At 36.7% G+C, this 25,598-nt stretch overlaps 1 long non-coding RNA gene across 1 annotated transcript in view; it reads right to left on the bottom strand.

Annotated features, from left to right (window-relative positions):
- Positions 1-25,363, bottom strand: part of LINC00446 (long intergenic non-protein coding RNA 446) — a 40,713-nt gene extending 15,350 nt beyond the window's left edge. Inside the window, exons 1-5 of the long non-coding RNA NR_047028.1 lie at positions 25,299-25,363; positions 24,483-24,571; positions 8,166-8,324; positions 6,262-6,383; positions 996-1,050 (exon numbers count right to left, since the gene is read on the bottom strand). This is a non-coding gene — a long non-coding RNA (long intergenic non-protein coding RNA 446). The remainder of the gene's footprint in view (positions 1-995; positions 1,051-6,261; positions 6,384-8,165; positions 8,325-24,482; positions 24,572-25,298) is intronic.
- Between the last annotated feature and the right edge of the window lie 235 nt (positions 25,364-25,598).

Raw genomic sequence — 25,598 nt, 5'->3', positions numbered from 1 at the left:
TAAACCCACCAAATATTTCTTTCCTGAAAAAAACACATAAAGATATGACAAAGATAAAAGCTGAACAAAAAGCATGAATATTATATTTATGAAAAGAAAATTTGAGCAATATAGTGTGTCTGTATATTATCTCCTGTTGGACAAGCTCATAGAAATTTTATCCACGCAGCTGGCCGTTGTGATCTGCCTTGATTGTATAATAAGCCTTCGGCTAACCAGACAGCAAATAAGCTGAATTACTCACAATGTAGCCCCAGAGAATGGGCGAGGAGACTTGCACACAAATTGTATCATAATGTAGTAATCATACTTTTTAATTAAAAATATAAAATATTTCTCAGTATATTTTTCAGACAGTTCAAATGCTGATGGATCCAATTCAAAACAAGGTATTTGGACACTATACTCTTAAATAATTCTTAAGTTTATTTGTTTCTCATCAACCACTGTTCTACCTACTCTATTTCAATAGTCCCTTTGCCCATCCCCTATCCTCTGCACTACAGTAGAATGTACTCAGGCAGTGACATGTAGAAGTTAAGAGAGGGGGCTTCATTTAAACGGCCTGGTTTAAAATCCCAACACGCCATCACTTAATAGATGAATGATGTTGGACACATTCCTTAACTCCTTTATTTGTAAAATGTGAATAATAGTAGTATTTCATTCACAGTGTGTTTTTGAAGATTAACTATGATAATACATATAACAAGCATTCAACTGATAACTTGAGGATGATCATGATTGCCAAAACAATTTTTAAAATATAAATTCAGTCCAGCCATCTTTTGCTTAAAAAAAAAAAAATCCTTCAACGGCTTTCCATAACCAAGAGACAAATAACAAATCCCATGGCAGGTAGAGTCCCTCATGATTGACAGGTATCTTCCCTTTGAGCCCCTTCCCTCATTGTTCTCCCTATTAAGCACATGTCAGCCACACTGAATTACTATACTTGTACCCCATCACTCCATACATACTACGTTCGTACATACCATTCATTTTATTTGGAATGTCCTCTCTTCACTCTGCTTCTTCTGCCTGGAAAAACTAACATTACAAATTTAACTTAAACATACTTTCTCATTGAGGAGAGTTCCCTGAATTATTGGAATCCCTCCCTCTCTCTCTAGAGGACTCTATGTTTCTCATATCCACATTCTCATTGTTTGGTAGACTGCCAGACATATACTACACTCCTGATTATTGTCTATGGAATGAATTTAGGCTTCAAACATCAGTGAAATTTTTTTCCTAAAGAGAAATTTCTGTTATGAACAGCTATTAGATCTCAGAAAAATTTTAAAGATGTGTTGAGTTTCACTAACACCTCTGCTATCTAAACTGATAGAAATGATAAAACAATAACAACACAGATATGTTTTCTAAGAATGTTGAGAAATAATTTGCATAATAGGCATGTTTAAACACTATTGCTCAAGCTGAAGTTGACTAAAAATTCTTGAACATTGCTATTGTTTTGATGAGAATCATAAAAATAAAGCATAAATTGATTAAATGACAGAATAATAGACAATTAAATGATATAGCTATTCTATTCTTTTTTAAAATATTAGTTTTAGCAGCTATTTAAACTTTAAAGAACAAGCTTGATATATTGTTCCGTAGAAAGCACCAATTTATAGTCTCCAGAGATATTATGAAACTAAAAGTAGCATAAATCTTTAAAAATAGTATTTTTTTTTTTCTCTATAAAGAGTAGTGGGATTTGGGAGTCATCAGTTTTTGGGGGTTTTTTAAAGATATTATAAAGGAATTTGAAGAAAATAAATTCCACTTTAACTCTTTTTTTTTGGTAAATTTTAAAGTTTCCTAAAAGGATGCATGTTTTGAATAACTTCCTTAAAATTTTTAATATGCCAGCTTGATCTAGTCACATTAAAACTTTGGGCATATGATGACTGCAATTTTTAGATCCCTTAACTATGCAAAGGCTAAATAACAGGGTTCAATAGAAAAATAATGTCTAGTGTTTAAGTTATGGAATGCAAAAATATTAAGAATTTTTTGACCACACATAGGACAGGATAATGGGATTCTTGATCCTCAAAGCACACAAAATCATCCCACTATGAATGTCACTGCATGGAAAGACAATACACAAGCTCTTTGTCTCCATGACCTGCCTGAAAATGAGTTTACCCAGCCAAGGCTGTAATTATAGAGCAATTAACTTTCCTTCTTCAGGCCACTTAAAGTTTGAGAGGTGGGCTACTGATGTGGGAGCTAGCTCGTGGCACTGGCAGCTCCCTTTGCCCTCCTTAAATCTCGGGAAAAGTGAAGCGAGTGGTGTCCTGGCAGAGTGAACCTCAATCCCAACCTCATCCCTCAAACTTCCTCTGCACTTGCAATGCACATTGCTTTGTGTAAACTAGGGCAATGGGGAACCGGGATTCACTAAAATAGGAATTGCACCTTCTAGTCAATGAGAATGAGCATATCCTATTCAACATATTGAGAAATATCAGAGCTGTATGAAGATGCTTGTTGTTTAAGCAGACAAACAGGAAACTATGGTACTAAGTGTTCTTACAAGTTCTGGTTAATGCCTGTTCTCCATCTGAGATATGCCAATTATGTTGTGCCTGTGTTGACACTTCTGTTCTCTATGTGGTTTATATATGGGTCTTAAATTGAGTTAATTGTAGCCTGGTTAGTGATATTAGCCATACATATGTACATACACACATTATAATGGTTGGGAAAAAAAAGAACATCTTTGATGTTTGTAAATGATAATATTGAGCATAAAGAGGCTGTCTTTATTGAATGGGAAGCCAACCACAACAACCATCTACGCATAAACATCTGCCTAAGTACACAGTTTACAGAACAAAATCTATTCATAGTCCACACATAAACAAGATTTCTTCCTAAACAATTTTGTCAATATTTCTTGGTACTCACATCTGTAACCAACGAAATTCTCTATATGCTCAAACTGTCCTGTGAGTGTTCCCTTCACTTTCCTTATCTGAGGGAAACCTGTCTCTCCCCTGAAATTCTTTCCCTGGCAGCTCTCTCAAATGGAGCATTTTTTCCTCCCACAGTCACCTCGTCTTAAATCTGGTGATGAGGAGACGTTATTACTGATAATTACCATTTCCAAATGCTTACCTTCCTTACTCCCTAAAAAAGCCTCATTTTTGAAGCTCTTTCTATCCTAAGATTTGCCTCTGTGCATTTCCCTGGGCTATTCCTGTCATTTGTTAAAAGTTTCTTTTAGCAGAGTACTGTCACTCTATCCTATGTGATTGTCATCGTTCTTAGCAATTTCAGTATCTATGTGGACTGTTCTTCCAACATCTTGGCCTCTCAGTTCCTTGACTTCTCTACTCCAATGATCTTGCCCTCTATCCCACATTAGCTACCCACTCTCAGGCTAATATCCTAAATATTGATGTTTCCAATAACTGTACCCCTTCTATTATCTCAGGTGTAATCATCCTACTTTTTGACTAATTGTAATGCTTCCTATTTTCTAGCTCACTGTCTCTAGTACTCAAATTCCAATAATTCTTTGGCTATACTGGAATTTTCTACTTTGTCTTTGACCCTAATTCCATTCAAAATTTTTCTTTCCTGCTTTCAGCTTATATTCCTTCAACTCTGCTTATAACTTCCTATTATATATCCTCAGTCACTTGCTGCTTTGCTCTTAGACATACTCTCCTCACCAAACTCCAAACTTAGTTAGATCCAACTCTTTGCCTACTCCATGTATAACAATGCCCTAAACATTACTGGAAAAAAATACTCAACCATGCTGATCTTAATTTATATTCATTTCTTTTATTTATAGTATTTTTATTCCATCTTATTTCTTACTCTCCAATTTTGACATTCTATAATTATTTTTCTTGCTGTTGATGTTTTTTCATAAAGCCTATGATGACATAAATGAGCCCTCATGTTAACCAATATGTTTATATTAATAAAATCATACAGCACATTTTCTTTTTTGTCTGGCTTCCCCTACTTGGCATAATTATTTTAGATTCACTCATACTGTACCATGTATCAATTGTTTATTCATTTTGTTGGTGAGTAGTATTTTATTTTAACATAATTTGCTCCTCCATTCACCTGTTGATGGATATTTGGATTGTTTCCAATTTTTAAATATTTTAAATAAAGCTACTATGCACATTTATCTACAAGTTTTTTTGGGGCTCAGGCGATCCTTCTGCCTTGGCCTCCCAAAGTTCTGGGATTACAGGTGTGAGCCATGGCACCCAGCCAGATCACATCTTCTTATCACTAAGTAACTTGAAACCCATGAGTGGTAATTACTCAGTAAGATATGGATATACTGCAGTTTGTTTATCTATTCACGTATTGCAGGATATCTTGCTTCCTTCCAAGCTTTGGCAATTATGAATAAAGCTTCTGTAAATATTTATGTGCATATTTTTGTATGAATATAAGTTTTCAACTTATTTGGCTAAATACCTAGAAATGTGATTGCTGGATCTTACACTAAGACTATATTTAGTTTTGTAAGAAACCGACAAGCTGTCTTCCAAGGTGGCTGTACCATTTTGTATTCCCGCCAGCAATGAATGACAGTTTCTCTTGTGCCACATCTTCATCAGCATTTGATGTTAGCAGTGTTTGGATTTTCACCATTATAATATGCATGTAGTGGTGTTGCATCATTGTTTTACTTTGCAATTCCTTAATGACATAATATTCATCATATCTTAATAGCTTCTTTGCCATCGGTATATCTTCTTTGGCGAGGTGTCTATTCAGATTTTTTTTTGCCAATTTTTCAACTTATATAGTTTTTTAAAATTATTATTGAATTTTAGTAGTTATGTGTATGTTTTGAATACAAATCCTAATTTTTTATTGAGTTGATGCTTTATCTGTAGGGATACTGTGAGGTCTGGGGGAACATGTATCATCATTGACTAGAATTGGGCTTGCTTCTGTTATATTCCATGGAGGCAGAACAGATCCCTGATAACTTCAATTTCTTAACTAGATGTCATCTGGACATCTCTGTTGTAGTAAATTCAAATTCTATAGCTGAATGAGAGAAGATTGTAACTGCAAGTTCTTGGGAGGAACCTATTTTCCCATCCTTAGCTGGGGCTGAAACTGACAAAGGCCCCCAATGTATTAGACAGGGCCCACCGGAGAGACAGAACCAACAACAACAGCAAGAACACCACCAAATACATGTATACATATATATACACATATTTTTTTCCTTTTTTTTTTTTTTTTTTTTGAGACAAAATCTTGCTCTATCACCCAGGCCAGGCAGTGATATGATCTCGGCTCACTGCAACCTCCGCCTCCTAGGTTCAAGCGATTCTCCTGCCTCAGTCGCTCAAGTAGCTGGGATTACAGGCACCCACCACCATGCCCAGCTAAATTTTGTATTTTTAGTAGAGATGGGGTTTCACTATGGTTTCCAGACCAGTTCCAGGCTGGTCTGGAACTCCTGACCTCAGGTGATCCACCTGCCTTGGCCTCCCAAAGTGCTGGGATTACAGGCGTGAGCCACCGCGCCTGGCCTAAGTCTGATTTCTCTTATACTTTCACAGTCCTTACATAGTGTAGGCATTCAATAAAGGTTGTTTGAATTTTAAAAAGTCTAATATTGAATGACGAAATAAACGAATGATGAGGCTGACCCTTAATATAGCTAAGCCAAATAGATCTTTATAATAAAGTTTACTTTTAAGTTAAAAGCTTGCATTTTCACTAGTAATTGAAAATACAGCCTTCAAATACAGCTGGGCATTTCTATTTGGGGAATAGCTTGAGAAGCTCAGGAACAATGTTATATATTAATTCTCTGGGAATGCTTGGTATACAACCACCATACAGGTGTTTCCTGTTGAGACTCCAAGTTCCCATGCAAGAACTTAGAGGACAGCTGAGAACAAAACTTAGCCTGCTTAATTATATCTGCCCAGTGTGCTGCATAAAAAAGTCATTGACCAAAAATAACATGTTTAAGTAATGTTCAAGTTGAGATACAGACCAGCAGCAGTCAGGAAATTCAAAATTAAATCTGATCTCCACCCTTCACTTGCCTCATTGTGCCCAGGCAGCACCAAGGTCAGAAATTAATTGGAGAAACTGGAAAACACACAGCCTGCAATATTTCAGCACAGTAAGGTCAAGGGGAAAATTTAGTTAAAACCTTATTACAGTAGTTTACAGAAACATATTACTGTGAATGTGAAATTAGAGTCTTGGCTTGATGGATGTGTCACCTACCAGGGTAATTTGTTGGGAATAATTTGAAAATGTAAGTGAACATAATTAAGCTTCTGTTTTATGGTAGTCTGGTCATTTGTCTCCAGGTGCACTTGTCTCTGTAGATTTGACACTGCAGATGCCTAGAATATAATGAGACATGTTTCATTCACTCAGTTTTAAGTTAGTATTTGGGCATCTGTGGATTAAAAGAGGACCTTAGAGTTGACCATAAAGTTGCAGTTAACATTTTCACGCATAATTTTTTTTCTGTAGAATCCTAAGTATAAGATAAAATCTCAAGGGTAATATTACCTTGAAAACCAGTGGAATACTACAATACTACAGTGAAGCCCTTAGTCAGTCTTCCCTAAAATGAAGGAAGCCACACCCACCTGGAATTATAAATGACTACCTGATTATTCAGTATGTGGAGAAAAGTATTCTCTGAATTTTAGACCATCCTATAGGTATATTAATACTTTTCTTTTAGAAGTCTTTGTAATTCTGGCCAAATTTATCAATGTCTTCCTATTTATTTGAGACACTGCTGCTTAGTGTTAATTGCACTATTTTTTTTAAATACAGAAAACAACATATCTCTTCTTTAAGAAGCTTAAGGAAAAGAGTAAAAGGGAAACAGCTGTAGAAAATCAGAGAGTATCAGAATTTGATTTCTTTCATACAATGCTTAATCATCTATGATATATTAATTGAAGATTGTTATTTGATTTATACTAGAGACTCCAATTATGCCTACAAAGGTTGAAAGTGAAGATAAATATATGGTTAACTCAGAATAGCTGTTTCCTAAATCATCGTTATTTTTCTTTTCATTATAAAATTTAAACTAGAATAAATTATTTTGAGTTCAAATCACCTTTGTTTTTAATTATTCAAAATAAACATTTTCCCAAAAATAGATTTATATAACTTTTTTAAAGGCATATTAATTGATATTCATATTTGTAATGTGTCTTTCAAAGTGAGATTGAACATTTCTAGTACCTTGTGCTCCAATTAACAACTCTTCATGGATGTTGCAACTGCCTATATTACTTGGTATGGAAAAGATAAAATTAACCAGAAAAAAGTACCATAAATTAAATATTCCTTTAAAAGTCAGATTAAGAAAATATATTTCATTGCTCTACAATATTTTTTAAAATACAGATAAATCTAAACTTGTTTCAGAATTAGATCTGTTGTTTAATTTCTATATCACATGTATGAGTTTGACTTCCAGGGTTGCTGTGTTTATTCTTTTCTCAAGAGATCTGGGAGAAGGGCTCATTATGAGGTTGTGCCATGTTGCTAGGCAGACGGGTTCAGCATTCAGATATTCTAGCTGTTCTAGCGACTTTTCAGTTCTCTGACTTTCTCATTAAATTTTTGTCTACTCTCTTCTATACTTCTAAATAGCAGACACACACATAATGATAAATGTGTTATGGGAATGACTAGTTCCCTCACTACCAGGGAGTTACATAAGAACAATTCTGTATTCACCATTTTCAGGCACAAAAGAAGAATAAAAGCCTACCCCAATGTGACCTGCTGCACAAAATACCTTTTGTTATCAACTTAAGTGCTCTTCTGAATCCTCAAACCACCCACTGACAGATTTTCTTTTTCCCACATACATAATTTATAAGTCATCTAATTAATTTTTCATAAGTTAAACAACTGTTAATATTAGTTCCTGGACTTCACGAATGGCAAAAATTAATTTTTTCCCTAAATGCATTTGCAGCGTCTTCTACACTTTCTCCAATGCTATACAGAGCGTTGAATATTTGGAACTTTAAGTTGAGGAGTGGTTTTAGAATTCAGTCTCTGGGCAGACAAAAGCTTCCACACTGTGAGCAAGTCTTAGCGGAAGATTGCTTAAGGGAAAATCCTATACCACATGATATATCACTGACCTTTCTCCTCTGTCCTTGTTACACAGAGAACTGAACCCCTTCTCTGTCTCCATTTATGGAGTATTTGACAATGACTGATAGTTTTGTGTTTTCCATAGCTGCCATTGCATTAAAATGCAGTTGCTGTTACACGAAGTCTCGGAGGGCCACAGAGTAAATCTGAAGGGAGCAGGGAAAAAATAGCACAAAACCTTCATGTGTCAGAATACATCAAAACCCACCATCTCAAATTATGAGTAACTCCTAAGTTTCTGGTACATAGCAGGAATGAGGAACAAGCATTGACTGTAGAAAATAGAACTATTTGAAATACAAACTTGGGATGGTCTCCTGGCTCCTGGGTTGAAGGGGAGAGATTAGATGTTAGACCACATTGAGAGGCTTTGATGGCTTTTTGCTTCTCATTTGGGTCTGAGATAGGACTAAAATCCTCAATTTGAGATCACACGAGGGGCTAGTAACCTGACCTCAAAAGTTAAGTAGAAACCCACTCAAAAAGTGATTAGAAAGTAAAAGAAGCCCTCACCTCCTGCCTCTCCTCTCTAAAGTCACTAAATCCAATGGACACCCTTATGTGTCTCTTGAATCTGCTTCTTTCACACCCATGGCCACTACCCTAGTTTGGCCACCATAATCTCTTCCCTGGATTCGTTCCAACACTGGTAACCTGACAGCCCATCTCTTCTTTCCCGACTCTGTTACACAAGTAAACATCCTGCAGCACAATACTGTGTCTCTATCCTGCTTAAAACCCTTTATTAGCTTTCCAGTGCTCCTAAGATGAAGCTCAAAGCTCTTCAAATGACTTATAAGGCTGTGTGAACTAACATCCTGTTCACACCTTGTTCCAGCGGTGAGAAGGTCTACACAAACCTACCTCCAACAGCCTAGGATGCTGAGACACTGAAGAAAAGGGCTGACAGATACAGTTTCTTAGAAAGAAATATTTAATAGGGACATGTGAACAGAAGCCATGTCTGCATCTCAGTTGACCATGAGACAAGATGGTGGATCCTCTCACTGTTACCTCATATGCTCAGGGCTTATAAACCATAGGGAAGGAATGTGTAGGACAATTGAACTGGACCCCTCAATGAAAGGCAAGAATGCTATGTGAATCTGCCAAAGGTCAGGATGTATGGTCAAGGTTGTTTTGACCTCAGGGCAGAATTTACAGTGACAGTAGATGAAGTAGAAATCTGAGAGGCATTCTCAGAATCAAGGTTAATCAGAAGTCAACATGGCAGATTTGCATCCAAGATGGAATTGCTTTAGTCTTCATGCATTGTAGCTTGGATGTTCCACGTTGAAACATCCTAGAAAACTCCTTCCTTGACTCTGCACGTGGCCACCTTTTCATCAGCACCTGGGCTTTAATACAAACGTAGTTTCTGACCTCTCAGTCTGGGTTACTTGCTTCTTCCATTACATGCTTCCTTATCATTGTTTTTGCTCTCTATAGTGGGCTACATCATACTGCATTATAATTGCTACTTTAGTTGTTACTTGCCTGTTTTACCCTCTACATCACAAAGAATTTAGTTTTCAAACCATGTGAAAGCAATACCTCCCCTTCCAGACAAGGCTATAATGAATCAGGACATAAAACTCAAAGGCAAATTAAGTAACAGTAAAACATTGTTATTATCGGCTTTTATCCATTGACATTCTTATATAAGAAAATATATTTGAATTTATCAGACTATCCCACTTCAATTTTTCTGATTCTTAAACTTCTTTCACATTAATATGTAGTCTTATGAGTTCTCTGAAAAGTTTCTTATATCATTTCATATTTCTGAGTGGTATATGGTAAAGAAGTGGCCTTTAGTAAAGAAAACACAAACTATTTTGTTTTATATTCATTCATTAATAAAGATTAATTACAGGGCTTATTTTATAACTTTTGGACCTTTCAATACAGTTAAAGAAAATTCTTGACTTTTTCCATTTAAGCAATGCATGCTTATTGATTTTTTAAAAATTAATTAAGAAGGAAGCATTACTTGTTCACTACAAATTTTTGTTGAATTTTTTATTATATTATTTTTGTTTGGGGGACCAAATATTTATTAAAGAAGATTGAAATTTATGTGTTATGACATCAACAACAGATAAATTATGGAAGCAGAAATTCTTTACTAGAGCTAAAATAATTATCTGGTTATGTTTTTTAATGATAAAAGAATACATACAAGCAATGGTCTACACACTGCAACTAAAGATCTGCTTCATTTTTTCAAAATAAAAAGCAAAACTGAATATGACTTTCATTACACTTTCTGTTTATAACACGGGTTTAATATACTAGTGACATCTTGATGCCTGATAAGAGGATTTTAATCAGATGTATGAAATGTCCAGATTATAAAGATTATAAGCAATTGTTCAGAATGATTACATTTTATACTTTACACACACACACACACACACACACACGCACATCTCTTAGTTTAACACAATCAAATTTACTTGACCCTTTGTTATTGTCCAATGTATGTGTTCCTGGTCAGCCTACCATCTTCCATGGGGTTATTTTGGAACTCAGGCTAGAGCCTAAGAATCCTCTGCCTATGGCTAGCAGATGAAGAAAAGAAACTAGAGAACATACACTGCCTATAAGTGAGAACAAGGTACACAGCCACACTTGACTGTAAGGGTTGTTGGGAAATGCAGTCCTGGCCTAGGCAGCTGCCTCTCAGTGAAAGGTTTGAAAGGGGACGCACAAATATTTGGTAGATAGTTGCCATCTCTACTGCAAAGAGAGAAAGAGAGAGAGAGAAAGAGACAGAGAGAGAGGGGTAGAGAGAGAGAGACCACGAGCATATTTTTTTTATAATGTGTAGTTAAAGGATGTGACTTTACCAGTAACAAGTTTGTGTCACTTCTTGATGATCTGATAGTGCACTGCAAAGAATTTAGTTTTCAAAAAATCCTCCAGAAAGGGATGTTGAAAGTACTTAAACTCCCCACTCAAATGTGTTACACACCAAATTCTAACATATTAGAGACACCCAGTGGGTGAACATGCACTGCCAAATCTGCTTCTTTTGGAACATTCATTCCATAAAATTTATCCAATTACTATATAGTATATATTCCTTATCAAAATGATGTCATTGATTAGAATGTTCCTAGTTCTACACTGGCTTTTTAAAAAATAATTTAAAACCACACACATTCACTGACTTAAAACAGTGCTGCAAGAACTTTACCACAACCCAGGTGCACTATGATCAATTAAATACTAATTATAACCCAGGCAGGTATATCTTCTCAGCTCACACTTGTATTTGTGCATTAGGAGGAGGACACCAATATCTCATAACTGCATGATATTGTACTTATTTTGTGTTAATTGTAGATTTGGGATTTTTTTGTAATAATGAATTTGAGCAAATATTAGATATTATTCATTATATAACATTCCAGCTTAAGTCTTCAATGATTCTGTACTGATACAGACAACAAATTTACATGCTCTGTGTCAGTTAGTCATGTAGCTTCCCGGTGTGTGCTGTCTTATTACAGGGGAAGAGAAACAGTAGGAACTAGGGCTGAAGATGCTTGTTTTCACACAGAAGAAAAGATCTCGTTTAACTCTCAAGACAAGACAGTTCCACCTCTTGTCTTTACATGGATGAATAACTGAAAGCCAGGTTTTTGCATCATTATCTTTGTATACCTCCTAGCAGCCGGTCACAGTGTCTGGCATGTCATAGGCACATTAGTTTTCTAACAATGAGTTACAACTTACCACAGCGTATTGGCTCACACCACTACCCATTCATTATCTCATAGTTCTGTAGGTCAGAAGGAGGGAGAGATTTAACTGGGTTCTCTGCTTAGAGACTCACATGACCAAAATTAAGGTATCAGGCAAGCTGTCCTGTTATCTGGAAGCTCTGGAGAACAACACACTTCCAAACGCATTCAAGGTGTTCGACAAATTCAGTCCCTTGTGCTTGTAGGACTGACATCCCCATTTCCTTGCTGGCCTGTTTTCTTTGCCATGTGCCTCCCTCCATCTTCAAGCCAGCAATAGTGCATCAAATCCTCACATTTGGAATCTCTCTGACTTCCTCCTCTGCCACCAGGAGAAAACTCTCTGCTTTCAAAGAACTCATGTGATTAGGTTAGGCACACCCAGTAATCTCTTATTTTAATGTCAACAGACCAGTAACCTTACGTCTGCAAAATGCCTTTTGCCACATAGCATAACTTAATCACAGGAGTAACACCACGTGACAAGGGCCATGGGAGCCATGATAGAATTCCACTTAGCACAGTAGAGGTAGGGTTTGTAACTCCGCCCACTGTAGTGCTTTCTAGTGGATATCACCTTGAGGACAAGGGAGAAATTCTTCCTGATGCCCAAGGTACAGGGGTATGCCTTATGTAGATTAGCACTACTTGTCCGAAAGCAAGCATAGTGTTTCTCCTCTGTATCATACAGGGAAACTCCTACTCTTGGATTTATACTGTTGTACCTGGAGAAGCTTCCTGGGACAAGTTGACCTTTCTGTTCAATTCCTAGCATGGTTCTACTTAGGGATCAATTGGTCAAAATTCCTTATAAGTATTCAAAACTTCTTTTCTTCTCTTTCTAAACACCTCCTTCTAGGTAATCTCAACCTGACCCCCAGTTTTAAATACAAGTATATACTGTGACTATACTATATAGTTCTGATTCCTTTTCTGAATTCTATTCCACCTTCTTAAGATGTCCACCTGGATATTTATAAGGTATATAATCCTTCACTCTTATTTTCCACATACCCTAAAGCTGCTCTCAGCCTTCTCCAAACCAGTAATTGGCAATGCCATCAACCTAACTTTTTAAGCCAAAAGCATGAGTCATTCTCAATTTCTGTCTTTCTCTTCCTCTCATCAGAATTCCATCAGCAAGTCTTATCTATGCTATCTCTAAAATATGTTTCAAAACCATATTTCTACTTCTCAATAATAGAATTACATTATCACTATTTTGCAACTGCTAATTTAGAGATCTGAGTGATGATTATCAACAATTGTTAACATCCCAAAAAGAGACACTCAGATATTGTGTACCTCCTGATGGAAGGACATTTGGCAAAGAAAAGAAAAAAAAAATAAACCTGAAGCCAATTAAACGTTTAGCTCTAACTTGTTACAGAAGACACAGGGGATAGAGGAACACATGAAATGACACCCTTATGATGCAATTAGGTAAGTCCAAATTGACAAACACTCTTAATGAAGCCACACAAATTCTTTAATGAATAAGTTACAAGGAAAAGAAAATAACAAGAGAGACATAAATGTCACATCAACCAAATGCAATATATGAACATAAGGACCTTGACTCAAATAAATCATTAAAAAGTCATAAGACAAAGAAATTTGAACACTGACAGGATATTTGATAACACTAGGGGAGGGGGAATAGCAGATGAAGAGAGGATAGAACAATTCATATCTTACTAGCATAAATAAAAGATAAATATTTAAGGTGAGGTGCATTCCAATTACCGTGATTTGACCTTTAGACATAATATGAATGTATCAAAATATCACATTTACCCTTAAAATATGTACATCTATTATGTATCAATAAAAAAACATACATACATAAAATTAGACACATTAGCAGTAAAGTTGTACTTGATAAAAGTTGTTATGATTAAAATCTAACAGAAGGACTGAAAAAAAGGTAAGGATTATTGTCCATGTTTAGGCATAAATTAGTATTGTATTCAAAATATAAATCCTTGTCTATTAAACATTTATATTGTAATATTTATGGATGAAATGATATAACATTTTATATTTGCTGCAAAATAATCTGGAAAAGTTGGTGAGCTATATAAGAAACAAAACTGGCAACGAGTTGATAATGGTCAAATGTGGGTGATGGGTGTGTCAGAGTTTATTTTACGATTTTTTTCTAAATTTGTATGCATTTGACATTTTCTTTAATAAAAAGGTCTTTAAGACATTCACTTCTTGCCAGTTCCACTATTGCTGCCTCATCAGTGCCACCATCCTCTCTTACCTGTGAGGCATATGAGAGCGCCCCTCTGGGTACTCCCTTTACCCATGGTAGCCTCCTTTAATCCATCCTCTTCATAACAGTCAGAGTGATCATTTAAAACTCAAATCAGCCAGGTGTGGTGGCTCACGCCTGTAATCCCAGCATTTTGGGAGGCCAAGGTGGGTGGATCACCTGAGGTCAGGAGTTCGAGACCAGCCTGGCCAACATGGTGAAACTCTGTCTCTACTAAGAATACTAAAATTAGCTGGGCATGGTGGCGTGTGCTTGTAATCCCAGCTACCTAGGAGACTAAGGCAGGAGAATCGCTCGAACTCAGGAGGTGGAGGTTGCAGTGAGCCAAGATTGCACCACTGCACTCCAGCCTGGGCAACAAGAGAGAAACTCCGTCAAAAACAACAACAACAACAAACTTAAATCATATCCCATCTTCTTCACCTTGTCTCCTTTAATGACCTTCCCCACACTTCTCATTCAACTGAAATAAAATCTAAACCCCTGACCCACAAGGTCCTTTGTAATCTGGACCCTGAACGTCTCTTCAGACTCATCCTACGTGTCTCTTCCTGATACTCTTGCCACCCGGAGATTCTTTCTGTCTCTCAAACATGCAAGCTATTCCCTTCTCAGGGCCTTTGTCCAAGCAATTCCCTCTAGCTGAAAGACTCTTCCCTGAGCCCTCTGAAGGGCCTGCTTCTTCCTGTTCTGGTTTCAGGGAGGCCTTTCCTGGTACTGCTAAGAAAAATGAGCCATTCTGTCATTGTCCATCACACAAGTCTGTTTCTTTGCTATTCTTTTATCACTGATATTTAGGTAGCCAGTTTGTTCATCTATTTTTACCCACTAAAATATAAGTCTTATTTGCACAAAAAAGAGGGCCTTTTTCTATGATGTCCCCTGTACCTAGAGCTGCCACTCAACAAATATTATTTGAATAAATCAATGAATTAATTTATACAAGATCTAAGTTTCTGTTTCAGTTCTACATTTGTGTGAGTCTTGTTTTAGTTAGTATGTGACCAGGAAGACTATACAGAAGAGTTCAGCTCTCCTCTTGTAGGCCTGTGACTTTGGGAATTAGCTTCTCCACGCCTCTGCCTATTTCTCTGTAAAAGGAGACTTCTACTAGATTATGAACGTTAAATCAAATTTTATTCTTCATCTACCTATATTCCAAGTACCCCTTTCTATTGTCAATAGTACTTAACACATTTTAAATTACATGTGTATTTATATTTATTTAAGTTATATACATTATATAATTAATATCTACCTCATCCTAGCTGTGAGAGCAAGGACCATATTTGTTTTCACTTGCTGTTGTATCCTAGTCAGTATCACAGTAATTGGCACATTCTAAGCTCAGTACTCATATATAGAATAAGGGAATAAGTGAGTAAGTGTTTACCTATACTACGCCCACTATATAACAATTCCTCAATAAAGAGTACTTTTGTTATAATGGAAATGGTGGCAGTTCTCTTAGCATTCACCCAAAGGATCAGGTGAATTAGGCCATACAACCAGATCTTTGAAATGGTCATGAATCTCAAATGCCCTTGTTGCAGGCAAAGAATTGGATGATAGGTTTCCCACACACCCACTGTAATCTCTGGTGCCAACACTCTTGGTTTGACAGCTGAATTCTCACTTCCTTCGTCTCTGAGCCTGCCATGATCATCTAAGTCAGCTGGCCTGTGTGGCTCACTGCTTTCACTTCCTGTTTGCTTACTCATTATTAAACCATTTCCTGACTTCTATGTTTTACCTCAGCCTGGGAACCTAAAAATGACTTTTCTTTGATTATTACCTGGCTTTCTAGGGCTTAAAATCCTGCCCTAAACTCTTAAGTGCACTACAGCTTTCTGACAAGAATAAAATAATGAAATAGAGTAGTAGAAACGAATACAATCCTCTTCTTTTATAGAATAAAATAGTAAGGAATGCTTCCTGGTACCTAACATATTTGGTTAGATTACAATATCACATTGCTATATTTCATAAAAGCATTTTATTTATACTGCCTATTAAGTGCATTGGCATCAAAATGTATTTTTTATTGTACCTAACTGGATTTGTGTTTAAACTTTTTTTGCCCCCATCCACCTTAGATTGGCCCTTACTAAATATATTTTTTTAAATGAACCAATTTTCTCAAGCCCATTTTGTATTTTGTTTCTGATTTCTAGAATATTGGCACTGTCACTTAGCATATTTTCTCTCAATTATAATTTCTATTACTTTCATTCATTGAAATGACTATGAGTTTGACCAGTATGTCTGTCTAAATTTGGAGAAGATCAATTATGTTAAATATATCAAATATTTGAAAATGGGATTAAAGAATCTTTCAATAACAGTAAAATGTTCTCTCTCTTGAAATAGATCTGAATTTGCCTACTATCAGAGACTTAAATGTAGAATAGACAAAACATAAGAAAAATTATTTAAGGAATATTTATTTATTACCTACAAGGACTAGGTTAACTGATACAGGATATGCTTTTTTAGTTTTACTTTGTGATTTTATGATTCTTATTTATAGTGTCTCTAGGACTTTCTATCTGGATACAATTCATTTAATTGCATCCAAGTTATTATCCTATTTAACACACAGGAGTTTTCATACTAATGTAGCATACTGATTTAACATTCCTTTTAAATACCATTTCATAATCTTAACTTTATTTCTAGAAAGTTGATAAAATATCTTAAAGCTGGGTTATGTACATGTCCCACTCAAAATTTATATAGAAGGCACAAGAAATAGCTTCATTCACTGCAGAACAATTTTGACATCTTTGATAAGAAAGCAAGAAGCCAAACTGCACGCTGGGATCATCTATCTTGAAAACAGTCCATGTTTTCACCCAGAGTCATCTGCAAAGACGCACAGACAGCTGCAGACCCGTCCTGCCCAGAGACGAGCCTTCCACAGAATCCTGATGAGGCTGCTGCCTGTAGTCCGTGGGGTAATGGCTGACCTCTGACCCTGCCTGACAGCCAGCACTTTTGTCATCTTTCTGTGCAACAAGTCAAATTAGGCTATAATTGCTGCACAGACAATGGGCTGTAATTACACATTCACGTCCCAGAGTCTGGTAGGAGGGAGATGATTGCGGCTGGAAGTGGACAAGGAGAAGTCAAAAAGTCAAAAGACAAACCACTTTTTGATACTTTTCTCCAAAGTGTGGCTATACTGTGGACTCCTCAAAGAGGAGAAAGAATCAAACGACACCGGAGAGCAACCACTCTCATTCAAAATACCATAAAGACATTAATTTCATGGACTTTAGTAGGTGTGATACACCAAAGGTTATGTGACTAATAAATAAAAGCAAGGACAACTATGGTTCCCACGACTATGGTTCTCTGCAACAACTACTTTGTTTTTGCTATTCAATTTTTTAATTCTGGGAGTTATTCATTAGGGTGAGCCAAAGTTATTTTTAAAAAAATTTAAGCCCAATTTTTAAATATGCAAAACATTTACAGTAGCAAATTAAGTAGACTGAACAGCTTAAAAACACCCATAAAAGCAGATCTGCCTTTGCTGCCTTTGAGACCATCTGCAAAATTATTGGCACCTTTCACCATCCCTATCCAAAGTTGTGGATCTACCAGGAAAGTTATAGTTTTCTCAGGAATGAGATAACTTGTATTTGTTTCTGACATTTCTTTTCTGACATTTGCTTTTCCAGCATCTTCTTTTTTTTTTTTTTTTTTTTTTTTGAGACGGAGTCTTGCTCTGTCGCCCAGGCCGGACTGCGGACTGCAGTGGCGCAATCTCGGCTCACTGCAAGCTCCGCTTCCCGGGTTCACGCCATTCTCCTGCCTCAGCCTCCCGAGTAGCTGGGACTACAGGCGCCCGCCACCGCGCCCGGCTAATTTTTTGTATTTTTAGTAGAGACGGGGTTTCACCTTGTTAGCCAGGATGGTCTCGATCTCCTGACCTCATGATCCACCCGCCTCGGCCTCCCAAAGTGCTGGGATTACAGGCGTGAGCCACCGCGCCCGGCCTCCAGCATCTTCTTGAATGCCTTTAGAGCTAAACACTTGCCTCCTAATGAGGCAGCCCATGACATCTTGAAAGAGCGCTGTCTGTTAAAAATATCTTCCTCATGTTAAAAAAAATATGCTCTGGCTTAGTTATCATTCATTCACCCTAACCTTATATCTTGTATACCAGTCCTTGGTCACATTCCACTTGGAAAATCATTTAATATTTAAAGATAGCTATAATGCTACCCCACCCTCACCCCAGCAAACATTCTTTGTTTGTTTTCTCTATGACATGACTTCAACTCTTAGCAATCTAATATGAATATATATCCATATGCTTTAAGGCACCTAGAACTTAAAACAATATTCCAGAGGTGATCTGATCAATGCAAAGAGTCTGGCACTGTTTGCATCATTATTCTATTGTTCTGTTAATAAGCCTGTGATTACAGAGTTTCTCTGAGCACCCACGCCAAAGTGTTGTCTCTCTTGAAGCTTACCATAAGCCAAAGCCTCAGAGTGTTTGATCTATATGCTAAACCAAATGTATATCTTCTCTCACCTGTTTTTACTTTGCTTTGTTGGACCTAAGGGCCAGTTCTTACATTTATCTTCATTAAATTTCATATTGTTCACATCAACCTAATAATACCAACTTTCATTATCATCCTAGATCCTGATTCTACCATTCAAAGTATAAGTACCAATCAAATGTTATTAGTAGAATAAATTAAGCAAAACTGTCAGTAATACAAATGATCTATACTTTTGTACCAGTAACTTAAATAAAAATTATAGGATTATACAGTAAGTCATTGGGACTGCCTTCCATATTTCATTCAAGGAAACAGTTAACTGAAGTAATCAGAGCCAAAGTCAACACTAGACATCTTCTGCTAACATGATATTAATCCAGTGTTGGGGCATATGGCCTTGTAGTCAAACATTTTTTTTTTCACATTTCAAGAAGTAAAGTTCAATACTATCTTCCCACCCTGACCTTGTCTACCTCCCACCCTGACCTTGTCTACCTCCCACCCCTTCCTCGTGGCCACTGTTTCCTCCCCAAATTGCAGAAAAATCAGGAAAACATTATAGCATGATTGAATAAAGATGAAGATCAAAGTAAAGCCAGATGAATTGTCATGACCATGATTTATTCAACCAGGAAAAATGGCAGTGGGGGCAGTAATGTTGCAGAACCTTCAATTCTGGTTGTTACTGACTGAATACTCTATGGAAGATAATGACCTCTCACTCTAGGAAAAAGAAAAACCAGCCGGGCACAGTGGCTCACGCCTGTAATCCCTGTACTTTGGGAGGCCAGGGCAGGTGGATCACGAGGTCAGGAGTTCAAGAGCAGCCTAGCCAAGATGGTAAAATCCCGTCTCTACTAAAAGTACAAAAATTAGCCAGGCGTGGTGGCTGGTGCCTATAATCCCAGCTATTTGGGAGGCTGAGGCAGGAAAATCACTTGAATCCGGGAGGCAGAGGTTTCAGTGAGCCGAGATCATGCCACTGCACTCTAGCCTGGGTGACAGAGCAAGACTCCGTCTCAAAAAAAAAAAAAAAAATTACCAACCATAAAATGTCCAGGACAAGATGGATTCACAGCTGAATTCTATCAGACATTCAAAGAAGGATTGGTAACAATCCTATTGACACTATTCCACAAGATAGAGAAAGAGGGTATCCTCCCTAAATCATTATATGAAGCCAGTATAACCTTAATACCAAAACCAGGAAAGGACATAACAAAAAAAACAAAAAGAAAACTACAGACCAATATCCCTGGTGAATATAGAAGCAAAAATCCTTGACAAAATACTAGCTAACTGAATCCAACAGCATATCAAAAAGATAATCCACCATGATCAAGTGAGTTTCATAGCAGGGATGCAAGGATGGTTTAACATATACAAGTCAATAAATGTGATACACCACATAAAAAGAATTAAAAACAAAAATCACCTGATCATCTCAACAAATGCAGAAAAAAATCTAGCATCCTTTTATGATTAAAATCCTCAGCAAAAATGATAAACAAGGGACAAACCTCAGTGTAATAAAAGTCATCTATGACAAATCCACAGCCAGCATAACACTGAATAGGGAAAAGGTAAAAGCATTCCCTTTCAGAATTGGAACAATACAAGGATGCTCACTCTCACCACATCTATTCAACATAGTACTGGAAGTCCTTGTCAGAGCCATCAGGCAAGAGAAAGAAATAAAGGGCATCCAAATCAGTAAAGAGGATGTCAAATTGACTGTTTGCATATGATATGTTTGTATATCTAGAAAACCCTAAAGACTCCTCCAGAAAGCTCCTAAAACTGATAAATGAATTCAACAAAATTTCAGGATGCAAGATTAATGTATACAAATCAGTAGCTCTGCTATACACCAACACAAACCAAGCTGAGAATCAAATCAATAATTCAATTCTTTCTACAATAGCTGCAAAAAAATAAAATAAAATACTTAGGAATATACCTAACCAAGGAGGTGAAAGACCTCTACAAGGAACACTACAAAACACTGCTGAAAGAAATCATAGATGACACAAACAAATAGAAAAACATTCCATGCGCATGGATGGGTAGACTCAATATTGTGAAAATGACCATACTGCCAAAAAGGAATCTACAAATTCAATGCAATTCACATCAAAATACCACCAGCATTCTTCACAGAACTAGAAAAAACAATCCTAAAATGTATGTGGGACCAAGAAAGAGCCTGCATAGCCAAAGTAAGACTAAGTAAAAAGAACAAATCTGGAGGCATCACATTAACTGGCTTCAAAATATACTATAAGACCATCATCATCAAAACAGCATGGTACTGATATAAAAACTGGCACATAGACCAACAGAATATAATAGCGAACCCAGAAGTAAAGCCAAATATGTACAGTGAACTGATCTTCAACAAAGAAAACAAAAACATAAAAGTGGGGAAAGGATACCATATTCAACAAATGATGCTGGGATAATTGGCAAGCCACAAACTGAATCCTTATCTCTCACTTTATACAAAAATCAACCAAGATGGATCAAGGACTTAAATCTAAGACATGAAACTATAAAAATTCTAGAAGATAACATTGGAAAAACCCTTCTAGACATTGGCTTAGGCAAAGGCTTCATGACCAAGAACCCAAAAGCAAATGCAACAAAAACAAAGATAAACAGGTGGGACTTAATTAAACTAAAGAGCTTCTGAACAAAAAAAGGAAAAGTTAGCCAGCAGAGTAAAAGACGACCCACAGAGTGGGAGAAAGTCTTCACCATTTACGCATCTGACAAAGGACAAATATCTACAAGGAAGTCAAGCAAATTAACAAGAAAAAAACAATCCCATCAAAAAGTGGGCTAAGGACATGAATAGACAATTCTCAAAAGAAGATATACAAATAGCCAACAAACATATGAAAAAATGCTCAGCATCACTAATGATCAGGGAAATGCAAATCAAAACCACAATGTGATACCACCACCTTACTCCTGCAAGAATGGCCATAATCAAAAAATCAAAAAATGATAGATGTTGGTGTGGATGAGATGAAAAGGGAACACTTCTACACTGCTGGTGGGAATGTAAACTAGAACTGGTACAACCACTATGCAAAACAGTGTGGAGATTCCTTAAAGATCTAAAAATAGAACTGCCATTTGATTCAGCAATCCCACTGCTGGGTTTCTACCCATAGGAAAAGAAGTCATTATACGAAAAAGATACTTGCACACACATGTTTATAGCAGCAAAATTTGAAATTGCAAAAACATGAAACCAGCCCAAATGCCCATCAATCAATGAGTGGATAAAAAAATCGTGATATATATATATATATATATATATATATATATATATATATATATATATATATATATGCACACACACACACACACACTGGAATACTACTCAGCTGAATTAATGGCATTTGCAGCAACCTGGATGGAACTGGAGACTCTTATTCTAAGTGAAGTAACTCAGGAATAGAAAACTAAACATCACATGTTCTCACTCATAAGTGGGAGCTAAGCTATGAGGAAGTAAAGGCATAAGAATGATGCAATGGACTCAGGGGAATGCAAGGGACTTTGGGGACTCAGGGGAAAAGTGGGAGGGAGGTGAGGGATAAAAGACTACAAATCGGGTTCAGTGTATACTGCTTGGGTGATGGGTGCACCAAAATCTCGCAAATCATCACTAAAGAACTTACTCGTGTAACCAAATAACACCTGTTCCCAAAAACCTATGGAAATTTTTTAAAAAATTAAGGCCTTAAAGTCAGTACAGTCTGACTTTTCTTTACACATTTTTTCAGTGTAAAATATGTGTCTAATATCAAAATATGGAAATAACATGAAAAAATGGGAAAAAGAAAAATGCGTTATCTAACATCACTACTTGTTAATAACTATGGTTAATGTTTTTATGATATCTTTTCAATCTTTTTTCCTACCTAGTCTTTAGAAGAAGAAAAAAACTAACTTGGGGATCTTATGTAAAGCGTTCCATATCCTGCTTTCAAGTGTTACAGTGTTACACTTCTTTCACTTACCATAATGTCATGTGTTTTTCATGATATTTGTAAGCATTATTTTTAATGGCTATGTTATTCTTTAAGTGCAAAGACAAGAAATCCCTTTACTGGTTGATATGGTTTGGCTCTGTGTACCCACCCAAATCTTATCTTGAACTGTACTCTCATAATTTCCACATGTTGTGGGAGGGACCCTATGGGAGATAATCGAATCATGGGGGTGGTTCCCCCATATTGTTTTCATGGCAGTGAATAAGTCTCAGGAGATCTTATGGTTTTATCAGGAATTTCTGCTTTTGCATCTTCCTTCTTCTCTCTTTGCCTGCTGCCAACTATGTAAAGTGGGACTTGCTCCTTCTTGCCTTGCACCATGATAGTGAGGCTTCTTTGTAAGTCCAATTAAACCTTTTTCTTTTGTAAATTGCCCAGTCTGTCTTTATCAGCAGTGTGAAAACGGACTAATACACTGTTCCTCTATACTTTTACTTACAGTTTGTTTCCAATTGTTTGTTATAAATTATAGTATGGTGAACATATTGAGACACAATTTGTTCTCATTATTTCCTAATGATATATTCTCAAAAGTGGAATTACTGGGCCACAGTGATATATTAAGCAGCATAGCAAGGTTAACAGACAATTTAATTAAAACTCCAGATATATGACTTCTAATTCCAGCATTTTTTTTTTCTAAATTACTTTGTAACATTGGTTAAATGGGTTCATTGCTCTGGTCTTCAGTTTCTTCAGTTTCCTCACCTACAATATAAGAAGGCTAGACTAAATTATTCGTGTTTTAGGGTGTCTACCTTTGTTATCTATGAGTGCATAACAAATTAGCCACAAAATGTTGTGGCTAAACCAACAATTATTCTGTTATTTCTGAGGATTCTGTGGGTTGACTGTGTCTCAGCTGTATCTTCTCCTGCTGGTCTTGCTCATAGCTCCTTACACAATTGCAGTCAGATGGGAGCTCCATATTCAATATCCAAGATGGAATGTCCAAGATGGATGCACTCATGTACCTAGCACCTTGGCAGGGATAGCTGGGATCAGCTGGGATCCTAGGAAATCTGGGCTTCCCTTTCTCTCTCCCTACAGCCTCGGGGTGTCCCCTCTTCATATGACCTCTCTGTATAGTATTTCCATGTTGTCTCTCCATGTGGTCTCTCCTTCAGGGCAACAGAACTTCTTATGTGGAAGCTCAGGCTCTCAGAAGTTCAGATATATCATCACTTCTGCCACCTTCTCTTGAAACAGCAAGTCACAGGATCAGCCCAGCTTCAATATGAGAGGGACAATGCAAAAGCATGGATACTAGAGGCCATCTTTGGCAAATAGCTATCACATAGTATCTGACTGCAATAGGGTCCTTAGAACTCTAGGATTTTAATGATTTGAAAATGTGCAATCCATATGTGGCAAGTGCTATGATGGTCTATGTATCACATTAGGGACAGTGTAGTGAATCTCTCTTATCAAGGATGTTTATTTTACTAGAACACTCAATTTATCAGCTCTTCCGGGAAAGAAGTGAAAGTATTCACAGAAAGAATACTGGAAGCATTCTTTCACTTTTGGGAAAAAAAATAGAGAAGATTTACTCTACTTGTGTTAAAATAATTGCACTATCCTCTTTGTGCTGACAATCTCTACATTTACATGTTAGCTGTCTGCTGCACAGAAGGTATACATCAATTGAACCGCCAACACCCTACCCCAAGAAGAGTACCTGGTGGAAGATCCAACAGTATCTGGGAGTAATGGAGTTTTCTCGCATGGAGTTCAGAAGATGGTAATTCTGACTGGGTTTTACTGACACTCCACATGATTGGGGAAACCAAAACAAGATTAACCAGAAATGAGCCTTCGGAGTGATGAAAAATTAATCTCTTCTGCCCACCCTCACCTAATAAAAGATTCTGTTCCTTTCAATAGATTGATTTTATTATGCAATAGCTGAGTATATACACTAAGCCCCATAGAACTGAGATTTCCAGGCTGTGATAAAACCAAATAACCATTGTTACAGACAGATAACAAAGCCAGACTCAATAACATTTTATTAATCCTCAATGCCAAATTATAAATGCTTGAGAAAAATATCCTTTTTCTCTCATACTATGGGAAAATGGCAGCTTTTTATTAAGTCTATCTCTTAAAAGTTAAACATTTGCTCTTTTTGCTGCCTAGCAGTGAGAACTGAAGCTTCCAGAGTGTTTTATTTATTTATATGGCATTTGCCTTGACATTGCCCAAGTAATAATACATAGTAACAGGGACAGATGAGAGTTCTGTATCATCCCTTCCCTCAAGGCAAACCAGGCACAAATAGACCTCTAATGAAAAAATCCACACAGCAGAACAATAAGTAACAGGGAATAAAATGAGAAAAACAGTTTCTAAGCACAGCCTTTGAAAATTACAGAAGAGAAAAATCTACTCAAAGTGGAGTAAGGCCTCTTCAGCTTTCACACTATACGGTGGGTTTTAGTTTCATTACTTGATTCTTTAGCACTAACCAGTTTACCTCTAAATCTAATATCACCTTTTTTGGCTTCAAGGAATAGCAATGACTTCAATGGTGCTTTATTCATAAAATGGTACTTGCTCCTAAGTAGCAGCTGAAATAGAGAATTTTTTGTATAAATTTAGAGGGTACAAATGCCATTTTGATTCATGGGTATATTGCACAGTAATGAAGTCTGGACTTTTAGTGTAACCGTCATCCAAAGAGTGTATGTTGTAATTTCTCATCCTTCATCCCCCTTTCTCATCCTTCACCCCCCCAACACACACACAATTCCAAGTCTCCATTGTCTATTTTTACACACTGTGTATGCATGCA

This window comes from Homo sapiens, chromosome 13 (genome assembly GCF_000001405.40).
Source record: "Homo sapiens chromosome 13, GRCh38.p14 Primary Assembly".
NCBI lineage: Eukaryota > Metazoa > Chordata > Mammalia > Primates > Hominidae > Homo > Homo sapiens.
The sequence above is the reverse complement of the archived record's forward strand: the minus strand, read 5'-3'. Positions and strand labels throughout refer to the sequence as shown.